The 13,081-nt window shown below is 46.3% G+C and overlaps 1 annotated feature.

Annotated features, from left to right (window-relative positions):
- Nucleotides 6,632–7,133: an enhancer, noted in NCBI's record as "NANOG hESC enhancer chr1:242172315-242172816 (GRCh37/hg19 assembly coordinates)". NCBI's record gives its function as "activates a minimal SCP1, AML or CMV promoter by ChIP-STARR-seq in primed H9 embryonic stem cells {active_cell/tissue: H9 hESC(primed)}" and the evidence as "EXISTENCE:reporter gene assay evidence [ECO:0000049][PMID:30033119]".

Below are 13,081 nucleotides of genomic sequence, written 5' to 3' on the forward strand. Positions count from 1 at the left end.
ATCTTGGATACATGGCTTCACTTTACTAAATACGGCTTTTAATGGTTATGGTAATCTGTAACTCAGAATAGTTATGTGAGGCTTAAATGAACTGGTTTCTGTAAAGCAGCTAGCATAGTGCCTGCCACTGTTCCTCAGTGTATGTATCTTCCCGTCACTTCCCCAAGCCATGGTTCCCCCAAATCTTTATAATCCGAAGAATCCTTATGTGCATTGAGGTCTGAATGCTGAAGGCAGAGGTAGAAGGAAACAGTGCTCAGTTGGGGCCAGGAGAAAATCAATCCCAGCTGTGGTGTTTGGTCAATGATTATAAGGGCTTTGAGATGCTTCTTAACTGCCTTGCGTTTGACTTTCTGGGCTGAGGCATGGAGATTGCTATCTAGTCCAAGCAGGCTTGCCTCTCAGATGGAATGGAGATGAAGGAGGTAATAGAATGAAGCACTGGGAAAAAACAAAATGCAGCAACACTTCCAGAATGCATCATCTTTCAGGCAGAGGAATGGGCTGGATCGTTTTTTCCTTTTCTTTTCTTTTCTTTTTTTTTTTTTGGAGGGGGCGGAGGGAGACGGAGTTTTGCTCTTGTTGCCCAGGCTGGAGTGCAATGGCACGATCTCGGTTCACCGCAACCTCCGCCTTCCAGGTTCAAGCGATTCACTTGCCTCAGCCTCCCAAGTAGCTGGTATTACAGGCATGCGCCACCACGCCCAGCTAATTTTGTATTTTTAGTAGAGACGGGGTTTCTCCATGTTGGTAGGCTGGTCTTGAACTCCCGACCTCAGGTGATCCACCAGCCTCGGCCTCCCAAAGTGCTGGGTTTACAGGCATGAGCCATGGTGCCCGGCCAGTTTTTTTTTCTTTTCTTTTTTTGGGGGTTGAAAGCCATCTTTTGAGGGGAGCAGTGTCTGGTGTGTCGTCTGATGGCATCGTGCTCCTGGCTGGTGCTCCTCTGGCAGTGGAGTGAGACCTAGGTGGCTGGGAGGTGACCAAAACCACACACTATGGATGCTACATGGACCATGGGGAAGGAAATAAGAACAGTCCTGTGGCGAACAGCTGGAGCAAGAGTGCCCTCGCTGGATCAGGAGGTCTGTCTATCAATATTTTAATTTCTTTTTTGTTTTGTTTTGTGTTTTTGAGACAGGGTCTCACTCTGTTGCCCAGCCTGGAGTGCAGTGGAATGATCACAGCTCACTGCAGCATCAACCTTCTGGGCTCAGGTGATCCTCTTGGCTCAGCCTCCCAAGTAGCTGAGACCATAGGCTCACACCACCGTGCCTGGCTAATTTTTTAAATTATTTGTAGAGATGGAGTCTCCCTATGTTGCCTAGGCTGGCCTCATACTCCTGGGCTCAAGCAATCCTGCCTAAGCCTCCCAAAGTGCTGGGATTACAGGCATGGGCCACCATGTCCAGTCTACTAATATTTTAGTAAACAAAAAACTGGCCGGGTGCAGTGGCTCATGCCTGTAATCCCAGCACTTTGGGAGGCTGAACTGAGAAGATTGCTTTGAGACAGGAGTTTGAGACTGATCTGGGCAACAAAGTGAGACCCCTGTCTCTACTACAAATGCTAATAGGTTGGCTTGGTGTCTCACGCCTATAATCCCAGCACTTTGGGAGGCTGAGGTGGGTGGATCACTGAAGATCAGGAGTCCAAGGCCAGCCTGGCCAACAAGGTGAAACCCCGTCTTTACTAAAAATACAAAAATTAGCCGGCATGGTGGTGGGGGCCTGTAATCCCAGCTACTTGGGAGGCTGAATTGGGTGGATCACTTAAGATCAGGAGTCCAAGGCCAGCCTGGCCAACAAGGTGAAACCCTGTCTTTACTAAAAATATAAAAATTAGCCGGCATGGTGGTGGGGGCCTGTAATCCCAGCTACTTGGGAGGCTGAGGCAAAAGAATCCCTTGAACCCAGGAGGCAGAGGTTTCAGTGAGCCGAGATCGCACCACTGTACTCCAGCCTGGGCAACAGAGCAAGACACCATTTCAAAAATAAATAATAAAACACACACAAAAAAGAAAGCAAACTTCTTTGAAATTCATATTATTTGTTAGCAGAATGGATATGTTTTCAGTTGTCTCATAGAGTTGTGAGATGATTGAATGAGGAAATCTATGTGATAAACTCATGTGTATGAGATGACACAGTTGGAGCTCAATAAATGGGAGTTCTCTCACATCGCTCATGCCTCGTGAAGCTCAGAGCCTAGCCCACTCTGCTTGTACTTCCTGGAACCTTTTGAAAGGGCTGTCCCAGCTCTTTCCACTTAGCTCACCACCTCTTCAATCCTTCAACTCCTACCATCTGGAGTCTGTCCCAACACTCATGCAGTGCTCCTGGCAGGTCAGCAATCACACGCACAAGCACTCTTTTTAGTCGTTATCTTATTATTTCATCTTCGATTCTTCAACATTTGGAATTGGCCATTTTCTCCTTTTCAAAAAAAATTTTTTTTAAGACAAGGGTCTCACTATGTTGCCCAGGCTGGTCTCGAACTCCTGGGCTTGAGAGTGATCCTCCTGCCTTGGCCTCCCAAAGTACTGGGATTACAGGCCTGAGCCACTGCATCCAGCCCATTTTCTTTTTTCCTTTTGTCTTTTTTTTTGTAACAGGATCTCGCTCTGTTGCCCAGACTGGAGTGCCTTGGCATAATCATGGCTCATTGCAGCCTCGACCTCCTGGGCTCAAGCTATCCTTCTACCTCAGCCTTCCAAGTAACTGGAACCACAGGCATGCACCACCACACTTGCTTAATTTTTTTACTTTTTGTAGAGAAAAGGCCTTGCTATGTTTCCTAGGCTTGTTTTGACCTCCTGGCCTCAAGGGATCCTCCCACCTTGGCCTCTCAAAGTGTTGGGATTACTTATAGGCATGAGCCACCACACCCAGCCAACATTTTCTTTTCTCATTCTGAAAACTCTCTGATTTCAAGACACCACATTCTTTGGATTCTTCTCCCTGTCCTCTGACCTTTATTCTTGGCCTCTTCTGCTACCTCTCCCTCCTTTGCAGGACCACTTCTCCTTAGGGCCTGTAAGACAACCCAGTCTCAAGATTGGACAACTGATATGTGTGACTAAGATATGTCCTCATTTCTGGCCAGGTGCTGTGGCTCACGCCTGTAACCCCAGCACTTTGGGAGGCTAAGGTGGGTGGATCACCTGAGGTCAGGAGTTTGAGACCAGCCTGACCAACATGGAGAAAACCCATCTCTACAAAAAATACAAAAATTAGCCGGGCGTGGTGGTGCATGCCTGTAATCCCAGCTGCTCAGAAGGCTGAGGCAGGAGAATTGCTTGAACCTGGGAGGTGGAGGTTGCGGTGAGCCGAGATCATACCATTGCACTCCAGCCTGGGCAACAAGAGCGAAATGTCTTCCAAAAAAAAAAAAGGCCGGGAGTGGTGGCTCACTCCTGTAATCCCAGCACACTTTGGGAGGCTGAGGCAGGTGGATCATGAGGTCAGGAGTTTGAAACCAGCCTGCCCAGCATGGTGAAACCCCTTCTTTACTGAAAATACAAAAAATTAGCCAGGCATGGTGGCACATGCCTGTAGTCCCAGCTACTTGGGAGGCTGAGGCAAGAGAATTGCTTGAATGCGGCAGGTGGAGGTTGCAGTGAGCCGAGATCGTGCCATTGCATTCCAGCCTGAGTGACAGAGCAGACTCCATCTCAAAAAAAAAAAAAAAAAAGGTCACAAAACTTGTCAGCATTCTTATCTGTAGTAGGCAATCTTGTGAAAATGCAACAGACTTGATAGGCAAATGGAGCTTTAAGATGAAGTTCTGAAAGGATCACCAGTCCTTGCAACCATCGCTACAGCCAGCCCTTACTATGTATAGATTTGAGAGCCACGAGTGGCCTTTCTGACTCTTGATGTTGGCTTTGCCCTGGTTCCCCCACAATTCTCTCCTTGTTCTCTATGCTTTTCTGGGATGATTTTAATCATTCCTGAGGAGTTTCCTAAGGTGACTCAGCTTTTGCAATGTGATTAAAAATAAGATTGCCTCTTAGCAAGTGTGGGTGTCTGGGGCTCAGGGAGTGACTGGGATAGATCAAGTTTGCTTCCTGTGACTGCTGTCATTCATCCTTTCTCCCTACATTTTCTGATATAGGGAGAAACAAGTTTGGGAACTCTAACAACATGGAAGTGAAATGTGTACACCTAAAATAAGAGGTTGGCTGGGCGTGGTGGCTAACGCCTATAATCCCAGCACTTTGGGAAGCCAAGGCAGAAGGATTGCTTGAGCCCAGGAGTTCAAGACCAGCCTGGGCAACATAGCAAGACCCTGTCTCTACAAAAAAATTTTAAAATTAGGCAGGCATGGGGGCATGTGCCTGTGGTCCCAGCTACTCGGGAGGCTGAGGCAGGAGAATCACTTGAAGCTGGAAGGCAGAGGTTGAAATGAGCTGAGATGGCGCTATTGCACTCCAGTCTGGGTGACAGAGCAAGACTCTGTCTCAAAAAACAAACAAACAAAGATGCTACTTACCAGTAATACTTATTGATCTGATCAACATGGGATAAAAACATTTTATTTAAGAGTCAGGCCATCAAAGAAAATAAATGATTCTGGTTCCCATTCCCAAGTGAGCCACAGAATCATGAAGTCATTTAAGCTCAAAATCTGCTTAGTTAACTTGTGAAATGATTTTAGAACCGGAAATCTTGCTATCCTACCCCAAGGCAGGATTTTTAAAAGTCCATAATAGCTATTACATGACTGAGGGCAAGACTTCATCTGTGCATCCCCAGTAGCTAGCGCAGAGCCTGACGCATAGTACATGCTTATAAAAGTTGAATTGATTTATCTGCATGCAAATTGCTAACAGGGAAAAATGCCCAGCTACAGAGTGATGTTGCTTGTGAAGTCCAGCAAGCAGGAAAGGCAAACTCATATCCAGAATACATGTTGATTAAATGCAAAATGAATTGCAACCCCTTCCATGGGGTAGAATGAGGCCAACTTTGTCTACTTACCACTGAGTTGTCTCCTTGAGGATTGTGCTATATCAAGTCCTCAGCACTGGTCTCTGCTGATTGGACATTTGGCAACAGTGTAGCTACATCAGGCCTGGTGAGTTGGGGTCCATGCCGCTGAGCTCATGCATAACCCCTATCCCTGCCACCATGGATAATCCCTCATTCATTTCTTGTTCCAGTCTTGGGAGAAGTAAGGGATGGTGGCCAAAGTCAACCGGTCAACTAGAAAAATTGTAGTGCCTCCTCCATGTGGATGTTCTCTGTGGGGCATGAACGTGTGATACATAGATGTTTACATTTCATGTCTATGTCTACAGATCCATACTTATGCCCCTTCTCCAGACTTTTTTTTTTTTCTATCCTGATCTTCAAGTTTTTCTTCTTTAAGCCTCTGACCAACTATCAAGTCATTTGCCAGAGCCCATGAATCTGTATGTACCCAAGTGAAGCACTGGATGTGCTGCCCAAAGCTCTGCCCAGCGGGAGGATTTCCCCTCAACACTGTCTCTCAGGGCTACCCATGGTGCAGGTGCAGCCCATTTTTGGCTTGCACCACCAACTAAGCTACTCATCTGTAAATTAAGTTTAGCCTTTTTCTTCCTCTGTCAGTTGATCACAAGCGACCCTCCCCTACAATGGCCAGTAGTGAACAAAGGAAGGGATATGGGTGCAACAGTGGTAGATTTCCTGGGGCTCTGGGCCACCTGATCATGCAGTTTACTCATGCCCTTGGCTTTGCACATGTCTGATCCTACAAACACCACTTCCACTTTAGGATGTGTTGCTGCCTCTAATGACTTCACGAGTCAGAGAAAATATAGTTCATTACAGCCAGTTCTGGCCACGTTGTCTCTAAATGGCTCATGGTCAACTAATTTTTGAAAGATACGTCGTTCTCTGCTGCAAATGGCATAACTACGTTTCTGAACCCTAGTGAGCTACATTGTGTTTTGTAGATTGAAGTTGACCATAGACCCACACAGAGTCTTTTCCCACCATATCTACCTCTGTACCATAAGGTCTGCCTGGTCATGGGGTACAAGTGGCAGGGGTGCTTTCAACAGAACTCTTCCCTACTCTGGCCCAACTTAAAGCTGGCAACTTTTGTGTCCTCTAGAATATGAGTTGAAGCAGAATTCTCAAATGTGGCTATCTTTAGAACCCAAAGAAGCCAATCAGGCATTGCCTTTTCTTCTTTGTGGCCGGGTGTGGTGGCTCACACCTGTAATCCCAGCACTTTGGGAAGCCGAGGAGGGTGGATCACCTGAGGTCAGGAGTTCAAGACCAGCCTGGCCAACATGGTGAAACCCTGTCTCTACTAAAAATACAAAAATTAGCCAGGCGTGGTGGCGTGTGCCTATAGTTTCAGCTACTTGGGAGGCTGAGGCAGAGGAATCACTTGAACCCAGAGGCAGAGGTTGCAGTGAGCTGAGATTGTGACACTGCACTCCAGCCTGAGCAACAGAGCAAGATTCTGTCTCAAAAAAAAAAAAAAAAAAAAAAGAAAAAGAAAGAAAAGAAAAAAGAAAGAAGTTGTGTAATGCAATAATTTTTTCATTACTTTGGAGAGGATGTTCTGGCACGCACGGACCACTGAATCTCTGAAGCTTCACTGATTTTGCAGCCTCCTGAGTCACTGGAAAATTTATGTCCCACCTCTGGGGTGCATGTGTCTTACCAAGGCTTCCAATGGACTTCTCACTCCTTGCTCATCTGATTAGATCAAATGATCATTAAAAAAGTGGATTAACGCCATGTTATTTGGGCTGTCCAGACAATCTATTTTTCTTTGGACTAAAATATGACAAAGGATGGGAGAATTAACATGGTTTTGGAGCAAGTCCATTAATTCATATAATTATCTGTCCCAAGCAAATGCAAACTGTTTTTAGTTCTTTTTGATAGGGATGAAAAAGAATGCATTTGCAAGATAAAGAACCAGATGCCATGCATCTGAGCCTATGTTAATATTTGCCAGCAGATATTCTACATCTGGCAGAAGCAGCTGCAATTGGAGCTGCTGCTTGGCTGAGCTTCCAAGAACCACCCTCGCATAAACGCAGCATCTTCCAAATTCCTTGCCAGGATATAAAGTCCATATAATGGGAAAATGCTCTTTTTTTTTTTTTTTAGATGGAGTCTTGCTCTGTCACCCAGGCTGGAGCTCTCTGGTGTGATCTCAGCTCAATGCAACCTCTGCCTCCCGAGTTCAAGTGATTCTCCTGTCTCAGCCTCCTGAGTAGCTGGGATTACAGGCACACGCCACCATGCCTGGCTAATTTTTTGTATTTTTAGTAGAGACAGGGTTTCATCATGTTGCCCAGGCTGGTCTTGAACTCCTGAACTCAGGTGATCCACTCTCCTCGGCCTCCCAAAGTGCCAGGATTACAGGCATGAGCCACCACACCCGGCCAGGAAAATGCTCTTATATCCATAATTTCTCCCTTAACCTTACTTTATGTTCCATGCCTTCCCACCCCACTTTTGCCTCCCATCCAGGGCATTCAGAATCCAGGTCCTCATGTTCTCTTCTGGGTCCTGGGGGTACATATTGGCTCTATCCAGCATCTCCTTTGAGAGGAAGACAGGCACCACCTCTCCTGCTGACCATTATGCTAATAACCAATTAGAGGTCACAATTTATGCAGCTGGGTTATGTCATAACCTAAATCTAGTTATTAGCATAATGGCCAGCAGAAGAGGTGAGGCTTATCTTAAGCAGGGATATATGTTGTCTTGGAAGGCAAATGAGTCCACATAATCTTCAGGCAAGTAGGAAAAGTACTAATCTTTCCCCAGCAAAAACAGGCCAGGTCTTTCAAGGGGTTCCAGATTTTCAAGTGCATTGACCCAGATTTATCCATCCCAAATTTTAGGTTCCAATACTTCCCAACCAGCGCCCTGACCTTGGCATAGCAGACACGCCTAGACTGACAGTTCAACCTTCTTTGGTGTTCTATCACTCCTGTAACTGTGCTTTGGCCCTAATCCTTAGCTTTTTCTGCCCTATAGATAATGGATATGAGTCTCAGCCAAGGAGGCCCTCAGGATTTCACGTCCTACCTCTAGGGTGTATGTGTCTTACCAAGGCTTCCAAAAGACGTCTTACTCCTTGCTCATCTGATCAAATCAACATAATGTCATTGATTAGATCAATATGATGTCATCAATTAAAGAATTGATGATCAGGGCTGGGTGCGGTGGCTCATGCCTGTAATCCCAGCACTTTGGGAAGCTGAGGCAGGTGGATCACATGAGGCCAGGAGTTTGAGACCAGCCTGGCCAACATGGTGAAACCTCGTCTCTACTAAAAATACAAAAATTAGATGGGTGTGGTGGTGCATGTCTGTAATCTCACCTACTTGGGAGGCTGAGGCAGGAGGATCACTTGAGCCCAGGAGGAGGAGGTTGCAGTGAGGTGATACCATGTCACTGCACTCCAGCCTGGGTGACTGAGTGAGACTCTGTCTCAAAAAAAAAAAAAAAAAAAGAATTGACAATTAATTATTTTCAGCCTTTCATTTACTTTCTGGAAAGCATCAATAACTCCCGGTAATAGCTATGTGACTCTGTAGTCCTTATAATTACTTTTTCTTTAATTCTCAAGCCGCCAGTGACTTCCTTCCACCATTTACCACCTAGTTCACCGACACATCCACAGCTGGGCGATCAGTGTTTCAGTTCTGGGCAAGGCATCCGGGCATCCTAACTCTGTATCCCCCACAGTCTTCACCATCATTGTCATTATCTTCATTTGTTGAATTTTATCATGTACAATCATTGGGCTAAGGGTGGAAACTAATCTTTATGGAGCACATACACATGTTAAGTATTGAGATATGATTATTCCACTTTCTTATTTAATCTTTCTGGAAAAGAAAAAGACACCTGAAACTCAGAGAGTTGAAATAATTTGCTCAAGATCACTCAGTTGGTGAGATTTGAGTCTATGACTTTATGCCACTGAACCCCGTTATGACATAATGCTTTCCATTCTAGAATTTATTTTTATTTCTATTATTTATTTATTTTATTTATTATTATTATTTCTTGAGATGTAGTCTTGCTCTGTCACCCAGGCTGGAGTGCAGTGGCATGATCTCGGCTCACTGCAACCTCCGCCTCCTGGGTTCAAGCAATTCTCCTGCCTCAGCCTCCCAAGTAGCTGGGGTTATAGGTGCCTGCCACCACACCCGGCTAATTTTTGTATTTTTAGTAGAGACAGGGTTTCACCATGTTGGCCAGGCTGGTCCCGAACTACTGACCTCAGGTGATCCGCCCTCCTCGGCCTCCCAAAGTGCTGGGATTACAGGCATGAGCCACCGTACCTGGCCTCTGTTCTAGAATTTTTAAAGTTGGCTTAAAATAGAACCATCACCATCATAAGGAAAATAGTTCCTGAAACATTCCCCTAGCAGCTCCAGGGTTAGTGCTCTACATGCACAAAACCTCTATTCTTTATGCTGAATGGACCCCCAACTTCTTATTAAAACAGAATATGTGCCTAAGATTCCCCCAAAGTACAAACAACCCAGCTCCCAACCACTTTTCTCACAGGTACACCACTGGAAATGAAGGCCAAGTGGCCCAGACTGTGGCCGGACAGGCTGTTTCCAGGTCCTTGCCTGCCAGAAGGAATGAGCTGCGGCCTTTTTCCCAGCTCCCGCCATCCACTGCCAGAAAGCCCAGCTTCTCCCGCTCTGTGACTCAGCCTTGCAGGTGTTTGCGTCCCACTCCCACAGCACAACCCAGGATGAGGAATGATGCACTCACATCAGGAGGCATTAAGGGCTTAGTAATCCCTTAGACACAGGAAAGTAGAAAAAGGGGGGAAAATATCTAATGTGTTGGGTGAAGGAGTCTGGAAGCTGGCTGGGGAAGGACTGCAGGCTTTCCTAGAAGTAGCCAGCTGTCAAATTGCTTTTTTCAAGAGCCAGAGGCATTTCTTGTTTTCAGCATCTGTGGTGCTCAGGATCTGCCTGGACCTGGAGGAAACTGGGCATTAGTCCTGTTCTCTACTAGGAAACCCACTTCTAGCACCTTTAGAGGTTGGAGAAGGATGCAACAGTGACCTCTCACAAGAGTCTGCTGCTCTGAAGCCCTGGGAATGTATCAGCTTTGGCTACAGCCTTAATGCAAGCTGAGTCAGACATGTCTCAGCTCCCTGATTCTGGGAGTTTCTTTCTTGCTAGTGAACTTCTGCTTTCTATCTGTAAAAATGAAGACAAGTTATTGTCCAGCCTGGGCAGCATAGCAAGGTCTCATCTCTTAAAAAAATGGAGACAATTATTTTGGCTTCACAACAATATTAATTCTTTTTTTTTTTTTTTTTTGAGACAGAGTCTTGCTCTGTCATCCAGGCTGGATTGCAATGGCACAATCTCGGCTCACTGCAACCTCCACTGCCCGGGTTCAAGCGATTCTCCTGCTGCAGCCCCCCAAGTAGCTGGGATTACAGGTGTGTGCCACCACGTCCAGCTAATTTTTGTATTTTTAGTAGAGATGGGGTTTTGCCATGTTGGCCAGGCTGGTCTCAAACTCCTGACCTCAGGTGATCCACCTGCCTCGGCCTCCCAAGGATTACAGACGCGAGACACGGCTCCCGGCAACAATATTCATTCATTCTTAATTCCCCAATATTTATCGTATCTAACTTGTGATAGGTGTACTAGTATGTTATAGGGATACAACAGAAAAGTAAAAACTAGGCCGGACCCAGTGGCTCATGCCTGTAATACCAGCACTTTAGGAGGCCAAGGCGGGTGGATCACTGAGTTTGGGAGTTCGAGGCCAGCCTGGCCAACATGGTGAAACCCCCATCTCTACTAAAAAAATATAAAAATTAGCCGGGCATGGTGGCAGGCACCTGTAATCCTGACTACTCGGGAGGCAGAGGCAGGAGAATTGCTTGAACCTGGGGGGCAGAGGTTGCAGTGAGCCGAGATCGCACATTGCACTCCAGCCTGGGTGACAAGAGCGAAACTCCGTCTTAAAAAAAAAAAAAACCCAACAGCATCTCTTACATCAAGCAGGGAGCCTACAGCTGAGTGGGGCAGCAGATAATGACCAAAGGAACTCAACTGTGCTACATGTGATGAAGAGGGGCCCGTGGTGCTGGGAGAGAATTTCTTAGGGAACCTGACTTAGTTGATGTAGAGGAAGGTCAAGGAAGTTTTCCTAAAATGATATTTGAGGTCATATGGTGTTAACCAGGCAAAGCAAGGCAATGGCATGAGGTGGGAAGAGGGGGTAGGGCAGTATTTGAGGCAATGGTAATAGCTTTGGAAAGAGGGGATATGGTTTGTTTAAGAAAGTGCTAGAAGCCAATGTGCTGGCATGTGCCTGTAGTCTCAACTACTCAGGAGGCCAAGGTGGGATGATTGCCTGAACCCAGGAGTTTAAAGCCAGCCTAGACAATGTAGGCCCCATCTCTTAAAGCGGAAAAAAAAAAAGAGAGAGAGAGAGAGTGAAGAGAAGAAAGTACTGGAGGCCACTGTGGCTGGGACCTCCAGGAGGAAAGCCATGTGGAATGGGGCTGAAGTCTCAGGGGCCCTACAGTGTGATTTTTATTGTAAAGTCAATGCAAACCACTGAAACCACCTAAACAGAGAAGAATGGATTCAATTTGCAGTTTGAAAAACGTGTTCGGGTAGGACTGCAGAGAATAGACTGGAGGTGGGGCTATTGTCATTGTTTAGTGGAGAAAAGTTGGAAGTTTGGCTTAAGAAGATCAACGGCATAGAATGAAATAACTCTTAGTTTATGGCTTAAGCAACTGGAGTTCATGTTGAAGAGAGCTGAAGACATGGGTGTTGCTGAGATGCCTGGGGAGAAAATATCTAGTAAGAAAAGAGGGGAGCTAGGTCGGAGCCTAGAGCAATTCTAATCATCAAAGACGGTAGAGAAGAGGCTGAGCCTGCCAATGAGACACAAGTGAATTAATGAGATGGGGTGAAACCAGAGACTGTGTGATGGAAGCAAGGTGTATGCCTCAAAGGAGGGACTGTCACTCAAATCTTGCTGAGGACTGAAAAAGAGGGAAAATGCTTTTTTTTTTTTTCTCCCCAGACAGGGTCTTGCTCTGTTGCTCAGGCTGGACTGCAGTGGCATGATCACAGCTCACTGCAACCTCAACTTCCCAGGCTCCAGTGATCCTCCCGACTCAGCCTCCCACGTAATTGGGACCAAAGTTGCACACCAGCACGCCCGGCCAACTTTTGTGTTTTTGGTAGAGACAGGGTTTTACCATGTTTCCCAGGCTGGTCTCGAATCCCTGAGCGCAAGCGATCCACCCACCTCGGCCTCCCAAAGTGTTAGGGTTACAGCTGTAAGCCACTATGCCTGGCCGCCCTTTTTTAACACATGCAGGTCATTTAATTCCTGAGAAGGAGTGAATGTGGTTGGGTGATATTTGCAGATTGAATGGAATACGGCATGGCTTTCAATCATTTCTATATTATGCTAAGGGCATCTGCAGTAGCCTTGTAATACTATTAATTAATAGTTTTTCCTGGCTGGGCGCAGTGGCTCACGCCTGTAATCCCAGCACTTTGGGAGGCCGAGGCGGGTGGATCACGAGGTCAGGAGATCGAGACCACCCTGGCTAACACGGCGAAACCCCGTCTCTACTAAATATATATATATAAAAAAATTAGCCGGGTGTGGTGGTGGGTGCCTGCAGTCCCAGCTACTTGGGAGGCTGAGGCAGGAGAATGGTGTGAACCCGGGAGGCGGAGCTTACAGTGAGCCGAGATGGCGCCACTGCACTCCAGCCTGGGTGACAGAGCAAGACTCCGTCTGAAAAAAAAAAAAAAAGTTTTGCCTTAAATTACTTAATTTTTTTTTTTAACATGGCACATTTATTTTGAAAGGAAACTTTTTATCTCTGATGGACCCCACCCCAATATCATTCACCATTAGTGGTAAAATAAATGCTTTTTTTTTTTTTTTTTTTTTTTTGAGACGGAGTCTTGCTCTGTCACCCAGGCTGGAGTGCGGTGGCGCCATCTCGGCTCACTGAAGCTCCGCCTCCCGGGTTCACGCCATTCTCCTGCCTCAGCCTCCGGAGTAGCTGGAACTACAGGCACCCACCACCA

The sequence above is a fragment of the Homo sapiens genome, chromosome 1, assembly GCF_000001405.40.
Source record: "Homo sapiens chromosome 1, GRCh38.p14 Primary Assembly".
NCBI classification, from domain to species: Eukaryota; Metazoa; Chordata; class Mammalia; order Primates; family Hominidae; genus Homo; species Homo sapiens.